Source organism: Homo sapiens, chromosome 1 (assembly GCF_000001405.40).
Source record: "Homo sapiens chromosome 1, GRCh38.p14 Primary Assembly".
NCBI classification, from domain to species: Eukaryota; Metazoa; Chordata; class Mammalia; order Primates; family Hominidae; genus Homo; species Homo sapiens.
In genome coordinates this window covers 16,481,427-16,500,230 of record NC_000001.11, presented here as the reverse complement: position 1 = coordinate 16,500,230, position 18,804 = coordinate 16,481,427, and the positions used below count along the sequence as shown (strand labels likewise).

At 54.6% G+C, this 18,804-nt stretch overlaps 1 pseudogene across 1 annotated transcript in view, besides 4 other annotated features; it reads left to right on the top strand.

The window, feature by feature from the left end:
- Positions 644–703: a silencer, noted in NCBI's record as "silent region_332". NCBI's record gives its function as "represses an Ori minimal core promoter by ATAC-STARR-seq in GM12878 lymphoblastoid cells {active_cell/tissue: GM12878}" and the evidence as "EXISTENCE:reporter gene assay evidence [ECO:0000049][PMID:35858748]".
- Positions 804–1,393: a silencer, noted in NCBI's record as "silent region_331". NCBI's record gives its function as "represses an Ori minimal core promoter by ATAC-STARR-seq in GM12878 lymphoblastoid cells {active_cell/tissue: GM12878}" and the evidence as "EXISTENCE:reporter gene assay evidence [ECO:0000049][PMID:35858748]".
- Positions 7,530–18,804, top strand: part of CROCCP3 (CROCC pseudogene 3) — a 25,266-nt pseudogene continuing 13,991 nt past the window's right edge. The window contains exons 1-10 of the transcript NR_023386.1: positions 7,530–8,250; positions 8,915–9,045; positions 9,147–9,221; positions 9,305–9,366; positions 9,448–9,613; positions 13,570–13,805; positions 14,566–14,662; positions 15,325–15,408; positions 15,767–15,998; positions 16,745–16,944. The product of NR_023386.1 is annotated as a CROCC pseudogene 3 (transcript). The remainder of the gene's footprint in view (positions 8,251–8,914; positions 9,046–9,146; positions 9,222–9,304; positions 9,367–9,447; positions 9,614–13,569; positions 13,806–14,565; positions 14,663–15,324; positions 15,409–15,766; positions 15,999–16,744; positions 16,945–18,804) is intronic.
- Positions 8,517–9,160: an enhancer, noted in NCBI's record as "H3K4me1 hESC enhancer chr1:16817566-16818209 (GRCh37/hg19 assembly coordinates)". NCBI's record gives its function as "activates a minimal SCP1, AML or CMV promoter by ChIP-STARR-seq in naive H9 embryonic stem cells {active_cell/tissue: H9 hESC(naive)}" and the evidence as "EXISTENCE:reporter gene assay evidence [ECO:0000049][PMID:30033119]".
- Positions 9,161–9,805: an enhancer, noted in NCBI's record as "H3K4me1 hESC enhancer chr1:16816921-16817565 (GRCh37/hg19 assembly coordinates)". NCBI's record gives its function as "activates a minimal SCP1, AML or CMV promoter by ChIP-STARR-seq in naive H9 embryonic stem cells {active_cell/tissue: H9 hESC(naive)}" and the evidence as "EXISTENCE:reporter gene assay evidence [ECO:0000049][PMID:30033119]".

The following is an 18,804-nucleotide window of genomic DNA, read 5'->3' as shown; positions in this document are numbered from 1 at the left end:
GGCGGGCACCTGTAGTCCCAGCTACTCAGAGAGGCTGAGGCAGGAGAATGGCGGGAAACGGGAAGTCGGAGCTTGCAGTGAGCCGAGATCGCGCCACTGCAGTCCAGCCTGGGTGACTCCGTCTCAAAAAAAAAAAAAAAAAAAAAAAAATCAGCCGGGCGTGGCAGCGGGCGCCTGTAGTCCCAGCTACTCAGGAGGCTGAGGCAGGAGAATCTCTTGAATCCGGGAGGCGGAGGTTGCATTTAGCCGAGATTACACCACTGCCTGGGCAATAGAGTGAGACTCCCTCAAAAAAAAAAAAAAAAAGAAGAATGATTTCATCCCATGCCTTCAATAACAGAAGGAGGTCGAAGCCCAGTCGGGGGTTGAAACGAACATATTGTTACAGTAGAAAGGACACGAGACAGGCGCGCCGCCGGGTTGAGTCTCGCGAACAAAATGAGGCCAGAGTGCCTTCCCCAGGATTGCACGTCAGTCAGGAAAACAAAGGCATTCTCTCTGACCGGTCAAATCACCGAAGCTTCGGGATCGTCGTTGGGGGCTGTGACAGGGCTGGCATGAAACGTCCCCTCGTTCTGGCTGGGCGATGGGTCAGGAGTTTCAGGCCTTTGAGGCCCGGCCAAACCGCAGGGGGACTCTGCAGCCGGGTCGGGGTTTCGATCCTGCGCTGCGGTCTTACAACTGCGAAACCTTGGGGGTCGTGGTTCGTTCCTGTGGAATCCTCCTTCGTGCGTGCAGGAGGAGCCTAGCTTGCCCGGCGGTGCGAGGCTGCAAGCGGGAGGGCTCACCAGGCGTTTCCGCCCAGGGTGGTCCCTGTAAGCGCCGCAGACCCGCGGCCCCTGGCGCCCGGCCCCGCCCCCGCCCCCGCCTCGGCCCCGGCCTCGCCTCCGCCCCGGCCTGAGCCTCTCTCGCGCGGCGCAGGCTCCGCCCCCGGTTCTCCCCGCCTAGTGGAAGGGACGCCCCGCCCCGCCGCACCCGGTGCGGCCCCTCGGCCTCGGCGGCAGCGGCTGCGGAGAAGGCGAGCGAAGGTAGGAGGCTGGGGGTGCGCGCGTGCGCGGGGGCTGGACCGACGCGCTCCGGGCGAAGGAGGCCGCTCGCCTGGGGGCGGGCTGGAGCCATGTCCCGGGGCTAGGGGCGCTGTGGGCGCCGCGCCCGCCGCTGCCCGGCACCGGAAGCCAAGAGGGCGTTCCCGACGGGCTCCGCAGATGCCCCTCCGCGTCCTGCCGCCCATCCTGCCCGGATTGTCGCGGGCCGGGGGCGCGACAGGAGGCCGAGGCCTGCCCGGGCGCAGAGGCCTGCCTGGGCGCAGCGGCCTGCAGGGCGCAGCCGTCCCTCCGCCGGTCGGGGTCCCCTCGCTCCGCGGGCGGCCGTGGGAGGCCCTCGCGACGGCCGCTACCCCTCGCAGATGCCCTCTGCAGCTCCTGCGTGCGGGCCCCGCCCTGCACTGCCCTCCTAGTGTGGGACGCGGTTTCGTCTTCATTGCAACCCTGCCGAGTCGGAAGCATCTCCATTGTGCGGATGGGTAAACTGAGGCCCAGAGCGCGCGGTTGGGCTGGCCACGGAGGCAGGGCCGCCGGATGCTGTGCGGGGATGGGGCCCTGCACCCCTTGCGCCTCTCACCATGGGGCCTCAGGCCCCTGTGCCCGGCAGCGTCTCTGGAGTGGGCATTTTGAACGAGCTCCCTCCTGATTTTCACACAGACTTAAGCCTGACGACCGTGCTGGGGCGGATGTCTGCCCCTCTGGTGACCAGGTCACAGCTCCCTTGGGAAGACGATTGACTGGGGAATGGGGACCCTGGGGAGGGGGCCTTCAGGGTGCCATCTGTCTGTTTACGCCAGAAAACAGAGATTTCTGTTTTCTTTCGCTGGGCTCACAGCAGGTGCTTAATAAACAGATCTTGTGGCGGGAGCAGAGGACAGCGAGGTTCAGGCACGACTCCAGGAGTCAACCCCTGGATCTCGGAGGCTCCCCACCCGCGCACATTTCCCTGACTTAACCCTCCCCTCCCCAGTCTTTCAGCCCTAGGAGGGGAGGCCCCCTTTCCACCCAGGTGGCCCCTGTGGGGGTCACTCCCTGGTTTTCACCCTGAACTTCTGGGATGCGGCAGATGCTGGATATGTGTTCGCTGGTGTCCTTGGCTCTTAGCATTCATTAATTCATTCAGCAGCTCTTCATGGAGCTTTGGCCTTAGCCCATGCACTGTGGAAGTGGCAGTGAACTAAGCCAACCTGGCACTTTGGGAGGCTGAGGTGGGAGAACGGCTTGAGCCCAGGAGTTGGAGACTAGCCTGGGCAACATCTCATCTCTACAACAAGTAAAAAATTAGCCAGGCATGGTGGCATGCACCTGTGGTCCCAGCTACTCAGGAGGCTGAGGTGGCCTCCCAAAGGCCCCCCCTCCTGGGCCTCCCTTAAGCCCAGGAGGTCAAGGCTGCAGTGAGCCATGATTTTGCCACTGCACTCCAGCCTGGACAACAGAGCAAGACCCTGTCTCAAAGAAAAAAAAAAGGAGGAGACAGACAACATACATGTTGGAGAAAACGGAACAGCCACTGGAGGGACCTCTTTAGCTGAGAGTCAGGGGTAGGTCCCTCAGAAGGTGATACTTTTGAGCAAAAATCTGGCCGACAAGCGGGGGAGTCAGCTGTGCAAAGGAAGAGGGAAGAGCGTCCCAGGCAGAGAAAGTGGCAGTGCAAAGGCCCAGAGGTGGGTGCATGCCTGGTGTTTGAGGAATCAAGAAGGCCATGAGCAGCCGGGTGTGGTGGCTCACACCTGTAATCCCAGCACTTTGGGAGGCCAAGGTGGGTGGATCACTTGAGGTCAGGAGTTTAAGACCAGCCTGGCCAATACAGTGAAACCTCATCTCTACTAAAAATGCAAAAATTAGCTGGGCATGGTGGTTCATGCCTATAATCCCAGCTACTCGGGAGGCTGAGGTAGGAGAATTGCTTGAACCCAGGAGGCAGAGGTTGCAGTGAGCAGAGATCGTGCATTACTGCACTCTAGCTCCAGCGTGGGCAACAGAGCAAGACTCTGCCTCAAAAAAAAAAAAAAAAGAAAAAAAAAAAGGAGATGAGGTGGGAGAAGTGGAGTGGGACCAGATCTGGTGGGCCCTGTGGGCCATGGAAGGACTTTGAACTTCATTTTAGGTGCGGTAAGGGCTAGTAGAGGGCCTTGGGTAGGGGAGGGATATGACCTTTACTGTGTGAAACTTGAGTGGGTGAGGGGATGAGCAGGAAGCATAGAGACCCTCGGGGAGCCATCTCAGCAGTCCAGGCAGTGGCTTATATAATACACATCGGCGTCCTGGGGTGGTGCCAGGTACACAGCAGGCGCTGCAGGATGGAAGTCATTGCCGTTACTGGTTTTGTTTATTTGAGACAGGGTCTTGCTCTATCACCCAGGCTAGAGTGCAGTGACACAACCATGGCTCATTGCAGCCTCAACCTTCCAGGCTCAAGCAATCCTCCTGCCTCAGCCTCTCAAGGAACTGGGACTACAGGAGGTGCATGCCACCATGCCAGGCCAATTTTTTGTATTTTTTTTTTGGTAGAGATGGATTCTCACTATGTTGCCAGGGCTGGTCTCAAACTCCTGGGCTCAAGCAATCCTCCTACCTCAGCCTCCCAAAGTGTTGGGACCACAGGTGTGAGTCACTGCACCCGGCTTGCTGTTATTATTTAAAACTCTGGGCTGGGCGCAGTGGCTCATGCCTATAATCCCAGCACTTTGAGAGGCCGAGGCGGGTAGATCACTTGAGGTCAGGAGTTTGAGACCAGCCTGGCCAACATGGTGAAACCCTGTCTCTACTAAAAATACAAAAATTAGCTGGGCGCGGTGGCGCATACCTGTAATCCCAGCTACTCAGGAGGCTGAGGTAGGAGAATTGCTTGAGCCCAGGAGGCGGAGGTTGCAGTGAGCCGAGATTGTGCCATTGCACTCCAGACTGGGTGACAGAGTGAGACTCCATCTCAAAAACAAAACAAAACAAAACAAACAAACAAAAAACAAAAACCCTTTGGAATCAGGCACACCTAGGTCGCGGCTGTGACTTGAGCTCTTTGTGGCTGGGTGCATTGGAGCCAATTATTTAACTTCACTGAGACTTCACGCTGTCATCTGTAAAGTGAGTAGGGTGGTGCCAGGAGTGTTAAAGCAGGTAAGGGACAGATGTAACGTTTTGGGCACAGGGCCTGGCTCGTGGTTGGTTCAATATTTTTGTCATAATTTCTAGTCAGCAGCAGGAGGATAATGAAGGGGTAAGCGGATAAGAGCAGCTGCTATGTTTGAAACGAGTAATCTTTGAGGGGCTTTTTGGCTAGTTCCTGCCGCTAGCCCTGGCAAAAGGCAAGTTTGGAGGGTGGTAGTGGGGAGGGAAGGGTACAAAGGGTGTCTCCTCTGTATTTGGTCACCAAATAATGTCTCAGCATCTAGAACAAGGCACAGGGTTCTAGCTTGGGGACTAGAAAGAGCCAATAATACTCATGATAGTAATGATAACAGTAGTAATAGCCAACACTTACCCGCTGTTGAACTGCAGGTAGTAATTAAGGTAACACTAGCTAATGTGATAGTGAAACCCTGAATTCTCAGAGGCTTAGCGCAATAGAAGTTTATTTCTCATTCATGAAAAGCCCTGTTGGGTGTTTGGCAGGTGGCTTTCTATGTGGCGACCCAGGGACCGAGATCCCTTCTGTCTTGTGGTTGCGGCATCCCCTAGGACCTTGGAGTTATTTCCTTCTAGCTGATGGACCAGGAAGGAGAGAAATAATTTTATGGACCAAGCCTAAAGTGGCACGCTGTCTTTCTGTCTTAATTCTATGGACCAGAACTTGACCACATGGCCGTATCTGACTGCAAGGGAGTCTGGGAAATGGCTTTTAGCCATATTCCTAAGAGGAATCGGAAATGCTTTGTGGTGAGCACATTGCAGTTTCTGCCACACCATATCCAGGCATATAGCTTAGCACGGAGTATTTTATTTAATGCTCATGCTAGAAACAGGCACCATTATTATCCCATTTTGCAGATGAGGAAACTGAAGCTCAGAGAAGTGAAGACACTGGTGCAGGGTCACACAGCTGGTGAGGGGCTGGTGAGCCAAGATTGGAGTCCAGGTGGCCAGATGCTGAAGCTGTTAGCATCCAGATTTCTAAGAGGAATTCAGTCATTTTTTTTTTTTTTTTTTTGGAGAATTGGGTGGAAGCAGTGGACATATACACGGGGTTCAGATATGACTTCCTGGGACCCACAGAACCCAGCAGGACTCTGGGGGAGAACTTTGGGGATGGAGCCAAGGGTGGGTGTCACCTGGTGCCAGGGGCTGACATCCTGTCTCCTTCCCCCAACCCTTAGGACTGTGGTCAGGAGAAGGCACAGAATAATTGAGTTCAGTCCCTCAAGGACATCTGGGGCCCCCTCTGCTGAGCTAGGCATGCAGGGCTGGACATGCTGGTCCAGGGGTATTTGTGGCTTCCCCCCTGCTCTGGTGGGCAGGTGTGCAACCTGTAGAGGGGATTTTTGGAGGCTGCCTAGAGGTAGAAGAGTGGGCGTCCCTGGGGTTTGTAGTGGCAGCTCTATGCTGCTGGCTGGATTAGTTTTCTTTTTTTTTTTTTTTTTTGAGACAGAGTCTCTCTCTGTCACCCAGGCTGGAGTGCAGTGGTGCGATCTCAGCTCACCAAAACCTCTACCTCCCAGTTTCAAGTGGTTCTTGTGCCTCAGCTTCCCGAGTAGTTGGGACTACAGGCACCCACCACCATGCCCAGCTAATTTCTGTATTTTTAGTAGAGACGGGGTTTCACCACATTGGCCAGGCTGGTCTAGAATTCCTGACCTCAAGCGATCCACCTGCCTTGGCCTCCCAGTGTTGGGATTACAGGCATGAGCCACCGCACCTGGCCAGTGGCTGGTTTGGTTTTGCCCAAATCTGGCTTGCTTGCCATTGCAACTTGGCAACATTTATCTTTTTGGCCCTGTTTCTTGGTTTTCCATTTGCAGGGCAGGTTCCTTAGTTGGGCATGAGCGGTCCAGCCTGGACTGATGAGCATTTATACAGCACCGTGGCATTCTGGGTCTGACCTGGATACAGAAGTAGAGCCTCAAAGCACAAATGCCTCGGCCTTGCCCTTCAGTCACTCATTGGGAGGCTGCTGGTCTAAGTGGAATGAGCTTTGGGCTCACCACTTCCCTGAAGCATGTCGCCTTGAATAGGTGAGAGCCCAATCTCTCTGAGCCTCAGTTTTCTCATCTGGAAATGGGTTGAAGTAAGGATTTAATGAGATAATGTGAATATGCCCCCTTTGGGGCACAGCATGGAGCAGCGGGCACCCAGAGGTCAAGGGCTGAGGCATAGCAGTGTAGCAGGACGAGCCGCAGGCAAAACTCCTCAGTCACCAGGTTAAAGAAGGAAGGAGCTTTATTCGGCCGGGAACTTCAGGAGACTTGTGTCTTAAAAGCCGAGCTCCTCGAGTGAGCAATTCCTGTCCTTTTTCAGGGCTTACAACTCTAAGGGCAGGAGGCCAGACACGTGATGCTAATGACAATAGGAACAGCAGCCACCATTGGCTAATAGCTCACCACCTGCCAGGTGTGGTAGGTACTATCAGTCGCATTTTTTTGTTGTTTTTGGTAGGACAGAGTCTCGCTATGTTGCCCAGGCTGGTCTCAAACTCCTGGGCTCAAGCGATTCTCCCATTTTGGCCTCCCAAAGTGCTGGGGTTACAGACCTGAACCACCACACCCAGTCTAGTATCATTTTATTTTATTTTATTTTATTTTTTTGAGACAGAGTCTTGCTCTGTAACCCAGGCTGGAGTACTGTGGCACAATCTTGGCTCACTGCAACCTCCTCCTCCTGGGTTCAAGTGATTCCCCTGCCTCAGCCTCCTGAGTAGCTGGGATTATATGCACATGCCACCACGCCCCAGCTAATTTATTTATTTATTTATTTATTTATTTATTTATTTATTTATTTATTTTTTGAGACAGAGTCTTACTCTGTTGCCAGGCTGGAGTGCAGTGGTGTGATCTCCGCTCATTGCAGTGTGGCCTCTTGGGGCTTCCTCCGTGCCTCTGCTCGGTAACCATAGCGATCTTCCAGGGAACTGTGGGCATGGGTTGGTGACACTCAAAATGCGAGTGATAGGGAGGTGAACAAGGTAGGCCCTCCCACTACTGGGCTGGTATTCTGGGAACAACAGACAAGCTAACTGATGTCTTTAATGCCACAGTCAGCTTCAAGGTTCAAGCGATTCTCCTGACTCAGCCTCACAAGTAGCTGGGACTACAGGCATGCACCAACATGCCCAGCTAATTTTTGTATTTTTAGTAGAGACGGGGTTTCACCATGTTGGCCAGGATGGTCTCAATCTCTTGACCTCGTGATCTGCCCACTTTGGCCTCCCAAAGTGCTGGGATTACAGACTAATTTTTGTATTTTTAGTAGAGATGGAGTTTCACTATGTTGGCCAGGCTGGTCTCGAACTCCTGACCTCAAGTGATCTGCCCGCCTCAGCCTCCCAAAGTGCTGGAATTACAGGCTTGAGCCACTGCGCCTGGCCTGGTCTAGTCTCCTTTTAGAGATGAGAAAACTGAGGCTCAGGGAGGTAACCTGTTCAAGGTCATGAACTGTCTTGAAGACCATAGTTGCAAGTGACAGAGCTGGGTCTCAGATGCAACCTCAGACCTGATACTGACTCCAGAGCTGTGCGCCTAAGCACTAGAGCACATAGCCTCCTTGCCCCAGGGAAAGAACAATGGGAGGTTGTGGGTGACCTCTGGGTCTCAGGGCCCTGGGATATAGGGACTGTGCCTTTTTTTTTTTTTTTTTTTTGAGACAAAGTTTCGCTCTTGTTGCCCAGGCTGGAGTGCAATGGCATGATCTCAGCTCACTGCAACCTCCGCCTCCCAGGTTCAATTGATTCTCCTGCCTCAGCCTCCCAAGTAGCTGGGATTACAGGCATGTGCCACCACACCCGGCTAATTTTTGTATTTTTGGTGGAGATGGGGTTTCGCCATATTGATCAGGCTGGTCTCGAACTCCTGACCTCAGGTGATCCGCCTGCCTTGGCCTCCCAAAATGCTGAGATTACAGGTGTGAGTGCCCATGCCTGGCAGGACTGTGCCTTTTGCATTTTCAAATGAAGGAAATGAGTATTTCTTGAGTGTTGACCGTGTGTCCCCCCGGCACCGTGTCATGTGCTGGTTATGCACACACGATATTCTGTTTCATCCCCGGACAGCTCTGTGAGGTGAGTACCAATATTATTCACATCTTACGTAAGAGGACACTGAGTCTCAGAGAGAGGCAGAGTCACTGTCCCTGGTGCACCCAGCTAGTAGGGGCTGGGGTGGGTGTGAAGGGGCCAGAAGCTTCCCAATAAGTGCCTGAAGGGCAAGGCTAGGGCATTTGTAGTTCGAGGCTCTACCACTCTGTCTAGGTCAGACCTAGGAATGCTGCAGGTGTTGCATAAATGCTCATCAGTCCAGGCTGGACCGCTCATGCCCAACTAAGTGCCAAGCCTGGCCTGGCTGATCTCACAGCCTGCATTCTTTGCCCTACACCTGTTGTGGGAAAACGTAAATCCTCTCATTCTTAGCTAACCTTGTGACCCCCGTTCTGGGCCAGCAAAGATGATCCCAAATACTTAGGACTCTGGCCTTTCGCACTACGTGGCTACTGACCCCACCCCCTGGGCTTGGAGGGCTCTAGGACCCAACAACCTGCGGAGGGTGAAGAGTGTGTGAGGTCCTGACCTCCAGCTGCCTCCCCTCCTTTCCTCCCCCCATTCCCTCTTCTCTCTCCTCCCTCCCTTTCTCTCCCTTCTCCTCCCCTCTCTTCATCCTTCCTCTTCCTTTGGCTCCCCACCTCTGCTTCCCTCCTCTCCTGTCCTTTTCCATCCCCTCCCTCCTCAGCCCCCACCCCAGAGCCTGGAGTTGCAGAGGCAGCTACAGGAGGAGCAGGCCTCCTACCAGCGCAAGCTGCAGGCCTACCTGGAGGGCCAGCAGCGGCAGGCCCAGCTTGTGTGCAGCGGCTGCAGGGCAAGGTCAGGGCCACCCACTCCTGCTCCTGCCCTCCCACATGTTCATTTTGCCCTGCCCCCACCCATGGGGGTCACCATCAGCTCCCCATCCCCACATTCTCCAGTACAAGAAGAGGTACTCGGAGCTGGAGCAGCAGCTGCTGGAGAGATCCGGAGAGCTGGAGCAGCAGCGGCTAAGGGTGGGTGCCAGGGTGGGGCAGGGGCAGGCCTGCCCCTGCCCTCCACCTGCCCTGCCTGATGCTTTAACCTCTCTCCCACCCAGGACACAGAGCACAGCCAAGACCTGCAGAGTGCCCTCATCCGGCTGGAGGAGGAGCCGCAGAGGTGGGGGCACAACAGGGAGGGCCAGGGCTGGCAGCATGGCCCCCTGGGCAAGCGCCTACTGATCCCCTTTGCCCTATTCAGGAGTGCCAGCCTGGCCCAGGTGAAAGCCATGCTCCGAGAACATCTGGACCAGGCAGGCTCGGCCAACCAGGCTCTGAGTGAGGACATACAAAAGGTGACCAATGACTGGACACGCAGCCGCAAGGAGCTGGAGCAGCGGGAGGCGGCATGGAGGCGCGAGGAGGAGGTGGGCATGGGGGTGCAGGGAGGCCAGCCTGACCCAAGGGGAGGGGCACTGCAGAGGAGGGAGGACTCAGAAGCCTGGAGAGGGAGAGGGAGCACTGTCCAAGGGAGCCTGTTAGCAGAAGTAAATAGCCATCATCACAATAGCTGGTCTTTATCAATGCGTAGCATGTACCACGTGCACGGTGTGCGTTGACCTTTATTCCTGGTGATAACTGCATGTGGTAGGTGCTATCATCCTCCTGATTTTAAAGACAGGTTAAGGCCGGTCGCAGTGGCTCACGCCTGTAATCCCAGCACTTTGGGAGGCTGAGGCAGGCGGATCACTTGAGGTCAGGAGTTCGAGACCAGTCTGGCCAACATGGTGAAACCCCGTCTCTACTAAAAATACAAAAATTAGCTGGGCGTGATGGTGCACGCCTGTCATCCTAGCTATTTGGGAGGCTGAGAGATCATGCCACTGCACTCCATCCTGGGCAACAGAGCAAGACTCTGTCTCAAAATAAATAAATAAAGAGAGATTAAGTAACCTGCCCACAGTCATGCAACTGGCAGCTGGGATGCAAAGCTAGGTCACTTGCATTTTTGCCCTTCCTTGCTGCCTCTTGCAGCCAAAAGGGGACTTGAAACCCAGGTCCCTGTGCAGGAGGGAGCCATGAGGCTTGGGAGGCTGAGCGTGGCTGCTGCGACACAGCTCTGTGCACAGACCCACAGGAAGACCCAATCCCTGAACGACGGTGCCTCCCAGGATGGTCGGAGATGAGGGAAGCAGTGGGAGGGAGTAAACCCGCTCTCACCCCAACCCTTCCCTCGGCATGTCTTCCCTCCAGTCTTTCAATGCCTACTTCAGCAAGAAGCACAATCACCTGCTCCTGCTATGGAGGCAGGTGGTGGGGTTCCGGCGGCTGGTCAGCGAGGTGAAGATGTTCACCGAGAGGTGAGGCCTGGCCAGGGATGGGCAGCAGCTGAGAGCCAGCCCTGCTCTTTACATCCAACTCAACTCAGTTGAATTTCAGTTCAACTCAATGCACCTGCTGTGCACAAGGGCCTGTGAGGACACAGAGGCAACTTGTAATAACCATTACCACAGTCGTGGCAGTCAGCATTTATTAGATGTTTACTCTGGGCTAGGCTCTTTGTATATTTCATTTCAACTAATATTCATAGCTTCCCTGTGAGGTAGGAACTGTGTTCATTCCCATTTTATAGATGAGGACATTGAGGTACAGAGAGGTTGAGTGATCTTCCTGAGGTGGCACAGTAGTACATAAGTGGCTGAGTCAGAGTTTGAAGTTCCTGATTTATTTATTTATTTATTTATTTATTTATTTTGAGATGGAGTCTCACTCTGTCACCAGACTGGAGTGCAGTGGCACGATCTTGGATCACTGCAACCTCCACCTCCTTGGTTCAATCAATTCTCCTGCCTCAGCCTCCCAAGTTGCTGGGATAACAGGCACATGCCGCCACGACTGGCTAACTTTTTTTGTAGTTTAGTAGAGACGGGGTTTCACCATGTTGCCCAGGCTGGTCTCGAACTCCTGAGCTCAGGCGGAGCCTTAGCCTCCCAAAGTGCTGGGATTATAGGCCACCATGGGATTATAGCTGAGCCACCATGCCAGGCTGAAGTTCCTGATTTTAATCCGCTAGAATATTCAGCTTTGCTACCAAGGACCTCACAGCCTCTTGTGATGAAAAGATGTAGATCCCCAAAATTCTAGACTGAGGAAGCGAGTGGTCAGTGATATGTACGTGGGACAGAAGGAATGTCCTGGAGGCTCAGAAGGATGGGAGGGGTGGGGAGGTCAGAAAAACCAATTTGTGGAGATGGAATTTGCTCAGAGCATCAAGGGATGGGTAGGGTTGAAGCAGAGCAGCAGGCGCTCCAAGCAGGAGCAAGGCATGAGCAAAGGCATGGAGGTGGGAGCCCATGACAGCCAGGGGGTTGCAAGGAAGAGCTGGTACAGGGAAAGGAGAGCCTGCCTCAGCGGGGGAGCTTGGGCCTGCCTGATCTTTGAGCAGGGGTGTCTGATTGGTGTGAGCAGTCAGCTCAACAGTAGTGTCGGGGAGGCTGCGGAGAGAGCCCCAAGGCAGGAGGCCAAGGTATTTCATTTAGTGCGTTGAGAACATTTTAGTTAGTAATCTTTTCTTTTCTTTATGGCTCACTACAGCCTCGGCCTCCTGGTCTGAAGCAATCCTCCTACCTCACATCCTGTGCAATTGGGACCACAGGTGCATGCCACCAGGCTTGCTGATTTTTTTATTTCTTGTAGAGTCGAGGTCTCACTTTGTTGCCCAGGCTGGTCTTGAACTCCTGAGCCCAAGTGATCCCCCTGCCTTGACCTCCCAAAGTGCTGGGATTACAGGCAAAGTGTGGGATTACAGCAACCACAACTGGTTTAATAATCTTTTCTTAATATCATCGAATAGCCAGTGTCTAAATTTTCCATATGTCTCATAAATGTCACAGATAGGCCAGGTGCTCACACCTATAATCCCAGTACTTCGGGAGGCCGAGGCAGGTGGATCATCTGAGGTCAGGAGTTCGAGACCAGCCTGGCCAACATGGTGAAACCCCCATCTCTACTAAAAATACAAAAATTATCCAGGTGTGGTGACACATGCCTGTAATCCCAGCTACTGGGGAGGCTGAGGCACCAGACTCGCTTGAACCCAGGAGGTGGAGGTTTCAGTGAGTCGACATCACACCACTGCACTCCAGCCTGGGTGACGGAGTGAAACTCTGTCTCAAAAACAAAAGTCACAGATAGTCTTGCTTTAGTTTTTTCTTTACAATTTGTTTGAATCTGGATCCATAGACATTCACAAAATATAAATGGTTGCTTTGTCTCTTTTTTTTTTTTTTCCAAGATGGAGTCTCGCTTTGTTGCCCAGGCTGCAGTGCAGTGGCAGGATCTTGGCTCACTACAACCTCTCCCTCCTGGGTTCAGCAATTCTATGGCTTCAGCCTTCTGAGTAGCTGGGATTACAGGAGTGCGACACCACGCCCAGCTAACTTTTGTGTTTTTAGTAGAGATGGGGGCTTCACCATGTTGGCCAGGCTGGTCTTGACCTCAGGTGATCCACCTACCTTGGTCTCCCAAAGTGCTGGGATTACAAGAGTGAGCCACTGTGGCCGGCCCATGCTTTGTCTTTGAAGTCCCTTTTAACTTATTTGTTCAGGAAACTGGGCCAATTGTCCTTGGAGATTCTCATGGTCTGGATTTTGCTGGTTGCATCCTTATGGTGTCAATTAACATGTTTCTTTATCCCATGTATTTCCTGTAAATTGGATGTTGGATCTAAAGCTAGGTCAGATTCAGGTTCTTCTGCTTGCTTTTTTGTTTGATCAAGACTCCATAAGTAGAATGTGTTCTTCCAGCAGGATGCCCCTATGCCAGCTGTCTTTCTTTTCAAGATCCAACCCACTCATCAGAGGCTGCAAAACTGTGAGCTTCTCATTTAGTCACTCCTGTGTATATTAATTAGAATTCTGGAATGAGGCACTTTCCCTCCTTACTATTGGATAACCAGTGGTACAGTTCATTCAGGAAAGGAAAGGATTTAACCTGTATTATGGACTTAAAATACTTTTTCTTTCTTTTTTTTTTGAGACAGTCTCTCTCTGTTGCCCAGGCTGGAGTGCAGTGGCACAATCACAACTCACTTAGGCTTGAACTCCCAGGCTCAAGTGATCCTCCCACCTCAGCCACCCAAGTAGCTGGGACTACAGGAGTGCGCCACCACGCCTGGCTAATTTTTTGTATTTTTAGTAGAGACGGGGTTTCACCATGTTGCCCAGGCTGGTCTCAAATGCCTGACCTCAGGTGATCTGCCCGCCTCGGCCTCCCAAAATGCTGGGATTATAGGTGTGAGCCACCACGCCTGGCCTCAGCGTAGTTTTAATTTGTAGTTGGGAGCGAGCCCCATCCCATCCCCATCCTGTGCTCTCTCCCAAAGGACCTGCTGCAGCTGGGAGGGGAGCTGGCCCGGACATCACGAGCTGTCCAGGAGGCGGGCCTGGGACTGAGCACGGGCCTGTGGCTGGCAGAGAGCCGGGCCAAGGCAGCCCTGGAGAAGCAGGCCCTGCTGCAGGCCCAGCTGGAGGAGCAGCTGCGGGACAAGGTGCTCCACTAGAAGGACCTGGCCCAGCAGCAGATGCAAAGTGACCTGGACAAGGCTGACCTCAGTGCCAGGTGGGTCCCTGGTGGGTGCCACATGGGGCAGGCGTCCTTGCAGAAGGTAAAACTGGAGAGTTGGGGAGAAGGGAGCATCTGTTCACTAGGAGCAGGGCCTTCCTCTGTGAGCTCAGCCAGTCTTCCCAGGCACCCAACTGAGTTTCTGAGGCACTTGCCCAGTGTATATCATAAACAGCTTAGCCTCTTATGACAGAACTTGTGGCCGGGATCACACCTGTAATCCCAGCACTTTGGGAGGCCAAGGTGGGGCATTACCTGAGGTCAGGAGCTCAAGACCAGCCTGCCTAACAGGCGAAACCCTGTCTCTACTAAAAATACAAAACTTAGCCGGGTGTGGTGGTGTGTGCCTCTAATCCCAGCTACGAGGGAGGCTGAGACAGGAGAATCGCTTGAACCCAGGATGTGGAGGTTGCAGTGAGCCAAGATCACATCGCTGTATTCCGGCCTGGATGACACAGCGAAACTCTGTCTCAAAAGAAAACCACAAAAAAACAACTTGTGCCCCTTACTCCTGCTACCTGGACAAGTCCTCCAGTGTTTTCCCATGAGATAAAGCTGGTGGGAACCTCATTCCCATTTCACAGATGAGAAGTGTGAGGTCTGGAGAGGAGCCACAACTTGTTTAAGGTCACACAGCCAGGGAGGTGGATGTTAGGGTCCCTCCCTCGGGTTTGGAGAAGCATGGTGGACACAGAGCTAGTGGATTTGAGAGGCTGGGGTGGTCCCGTATTCACCTCTGTTGCTCCCCCAACTCCAGAGTGACAGAGCTGGGCCTGGCAGTGAAGCGTCTTCAGAAGCAGAATCCGGAGAAGGATCAGGTCAACACGGACCTCACTGAGAAGCTTGAGGCCCTGGTGAGCTGCAGCTGCCCCTGAGATGGGGCAGGGTGGGATGGGGTACCGGCCAGATCCATGGACGCAGGCTTAGGGCTGGGCTGCCTGGACCACCCCCAGCATCCCACTCACACTCAGGTTCAGCCCTCACAGGTGTGCAGGCTTTGTGGTAAGAACATTCACCTCCTCCATCCCATTTCTTCCTCCCAGCAGCCCTGTAGCATAATCCTCATGACACAGATGGGGAAACTGAGGCCCAAGAGGGGAAATGCTTGTCCAGTCTCAGAGCCAGTAAGCTGGAGAGTCGGGACTTGAACTCCCATCCGTGCTCTCCAGGTCCAGATGCTGCCTCTGGAATCCCAGCTGCCCATCCCCACTAGTGGGACACTCACTCCCCCAGGGTACAGCCTGGTTTGGTCACCCCTCTGTGTGGGGCCTGGCCTGGGTTCTAGGTCCGGCTCTCCTCCAATCGACTGTGTGACCTGGGGCAGGACACAGCTGTTCTCTGCGCCTGGTCTGTTCATTGAGGGCCTCGGGCCTGCTGTGGGGTCTACCAGATGTCTGGCCTATGGACATAGCTTCAGAGGCCACCTGGTCAGTGGTGGACCAGGAAGGGAGGGGAATGGGAGGTTTCAGATAAGACAGAACCAGGACCACCCTTTGTCTCCCTAACTACACTCCAGGAATCCCTGCGGCTACAGGAGCAGGTGGCCCTGGAGACAGAGGACGGAGAGGGGCTACAGCAGAGCCTAAGGGACCTGGCACAGGTGTGAGCCCAAAGAGGTGGGAAGACAGGGCACTGCCAGGCAGTCCTGGGCTCCCCCGCCACGACTTTTGGTGGCCTGGGACTGAACTGCAAATGGGTGGGGGCCTGGGACCCAGGCTGTAGCTGCTCAGCACCCCCGGCCCTGGGGAGCCCCCAGTCTCAGAGGGGAGGCACGGCCCTTTTGGAGGCCACCTGTGAGCTGAGGACTGAGCTAGCGGAGGAGGTGAAATCAGGAAGGATTCTTGTAAGAGGGAGCATTTGGGATGAGGCGGCCCCCAGCCTCACCTGGGCGTCTTTGCCAGCTAACACTGCGGTTCCTAACTCTGAGGCCTTCTTCTGCCTGCCTCCCCTACCCTCAGTCCGTCCTGTCGGACACAGAGCGGCGTCCAGCTGAGCGGCTCCGAGCGCACCGCGGATGACTCCTTCGGCAGCCTGCGGGGGCTCTCGGCCCAGCAGACCCCGTCCCCACCGCGGCGCTCCTCGCCCGGCCGAGGCCGTTCACCCCGCCGAGGCCCCTCCCCGGCCTGCTCAGACTCCTCCACGCTCGCCCTGATCCACTCCACCTTACACAAGCACGAGCTGCAGGTCCAGGTAGGAAGGGGCTTGAGCGTTCTGGGCTCAGCCAGAGGCCTGGAGGGAGCGTCTGGCGCCCTCCGGGTAGGGGCGGGGCGGGGGCAGGTCCGGGGCCAGGGTCCGGGGGAGGAGTCCGAGCGCCTTGGGGTGCAGCCAGAGCTCTGAGAAAGTGTCTGAGGGTGTCAGGATCCCGAAGGAGGTGGCCGAGAGCTCTGCGGTGAAGCCAGCCCAGAAGTAGGGGTGCTTGGGCAGCTGGGGGTGGGCGCTTGGGCAGGTGGAGGGAGGAGGCTGCGGCAGTGTTAGGGTCCTGGTAGAGAGGGAGACAGGTCCCTGGTCTACAGAGCCAGGACCCTGGGAAAAGGTCTAGCAAGGGGAATCAGAGCTTGGGAACTAGGGGCAGAGCCAGGGTAGGGAGGAGTCTGAGAGTGGAACCAGGATGCAAGGAGGAGGAGCCTGGGAGCCCTGGGGGTGGGGTCAGAACCCAGGAGACGAGTGTGCCTGGGGGTTTGTCTGGCATCCGGGGGGCTTTGATAGGAGTTGTCCGGGACCCCAGGGAGGTGAGGGCTCAGAGGGTGGTGAGGGCACATAGGAGGGGAGCGGGAGCCTGGCTCTCAGGCCTAGGCCCCTATCCTGCCCCAGGCCAGGTCCAGGCCCTGGACCCCGCCTAGCGTAGGCTAGTGTGTATCCCTGGAACCAGAAGAGAGTAGGTGGGCTCTGGAGGCCTCAAAGGACCCCCGCTAGACTCTGTGATCCCCGCGCCCCAGGACATGCGTGGGCGCTATGAGGCAAGCCAGGACCTGCTGGGCACCCTGCGGAAGCAGCTTAGCGACAGCGAGAGTGAGCGGCGGGCCCTAGAGGAACAGCTGCAGCGCCTGCGGGACAAGACCGACAGCACCATGCAGGCCCACGAGGACGCCCAGCGCGAGGTGCAGCGGCTGCGGAGCGCCAAAGAGCTCCTGAGAAGGTGCCGGGGAGGTCTGAGCTGGGGGTGCTGAAGAATAAGTCGGCGGCTGGGCATAACATCAGTGGAGCCTTATGCGTGTGGCTCTGCACTAATATGGTCGCCACTAGCTGCATGTGCCTATTAACGTTTAGGTATTTATTTATTTATTTATTTATTTTTAAGATGGAGTCTCGCTGTGTCACCCAGGGTGGAGTGCAGTGGCGCGATCTGGGCTCACTGCAAGCTCCGCCTCCCAGGTTCACGCCATTCTCCCGCCTCAGCCTCCGTAGTAGCTGGGACTATAGGCGCCCGCCACCACGGCCGGCTAATTTTTTTTTTTTTTTTTTTTTTGAGACGGAGTTTCACTCTGTCACCCAGGCTGGAGTACAGTGACGCGATTTCAGCTCACTGCATCCTCCGCCTCCGAGTTTTAAGCATTTCTCACCTCAACCTCCCAAGTAGCTGGGATTACAGGTGCCCACCACCACTCCCAGCTAATTTTTTGTATTTTTAGTAGAGGCGGGGTTTCACCATCTTGGCCAGGCTGATCTTGAACTCCTGACCTCCTGATCCACCCGCTTCCGTCTCTCAAAGTGCTGGGATTACAGGCATGAGCCACCGCACCCGCCCAACATTTATTTTTTAGTATTCAGTTTTGTTTTGTTTTGTTTTGTTTTGCTTCGTTTTGAGTCACGCTCTTGCTCTGTTTCCCAGGCCGGGGCACAATTGGTCCCTCACAGCTCACTGTAGCGTGGAACTCCCAGACTCAAGCGGTCCTCCCACCTCTACTTCCCAACTGCCCCTAGTTGGGGGCCAGGGCCTGGGCCTGGCCTGGGGAAGGATATGGGACCGAAGCCTGAGAGTTAGGTTTCCACTCCCTTCCTCTGTGCCCTCATCACCCTCTGAGCCCTCACCTCCCTGGGTTCCTGGGCAACTCTGATCTCAGCCCCAAGGATACTAGACAAGCCCCCAACATTTCTAAATTTTTTGTAGAGATGGGGGTCTCACTATGTTGCCCATGCTGGTCTTGAACTCCTAGCTTCAAACACTCTTCCCACCTCAGCCTCCCAAATTGCTGGGATTACAGGCACAAGCCACTGTACCTGGCGCTATTAAAATTTAATTAAAAATTTGAAAAAGTGAAAATTCAGGCTGGGTGTGGTGGCTCACAACCCAGCTGGCTGGCCAACATGGTGAAACCCGGTTTCTACTAAAAATACAAAAATTAACCAGGCATGGTGGCATGCTCCTGTAATGCCAGCTACTCGGGAGGCTGAGGTGGGAGAATCACTTGAACCCCGGAGGCAGAGATTGCAATGAGCAAGGATAACACCACTGCACTCCAGGCTGGGAGACGTAGTGAGACTCCATCTCAAAAACAAACAAACAAAAAAGATGCGGTGGCTCACACCTGTAATCCCAGCACTTGGGGAGGCCGAGGTGGGCGGATCACGAGGTCAGGAGATCGAGACCATCCTGGCTAACACGGTGAAACCCCATCTCTACTAAAAATACAAAAACAAAATTAGCTGGGTGTGGTGGCGGGTGCCTGTAGTTCCAGCTACTCGGGAGGCTGAGGCGGGACAATGGTGTGAACCTGGGAGGCGAAGCTTGCAGTGAGCCAAGATTGCGCCATTGTACTCCTGCCTGGGTGACAGATCGAGACTCCATCTCAAAAAAAAAAAAAAGAAAAAGAAAAAAGAAAAAGAAAATTCAGTTCTTTAGTTGCCCTAGGCACATTTCAAGCACTCATCAACCACACATGGCCATAGAATGTTTCTGTCATCTCAGAGAGTTCTATTGACAGCGCTATTCTGGACCGTATTTCTTGGAGTTTTTTGTTTGTTTGTTTGTTTTCAGAGATGGGGTCTTGCTGTGTTG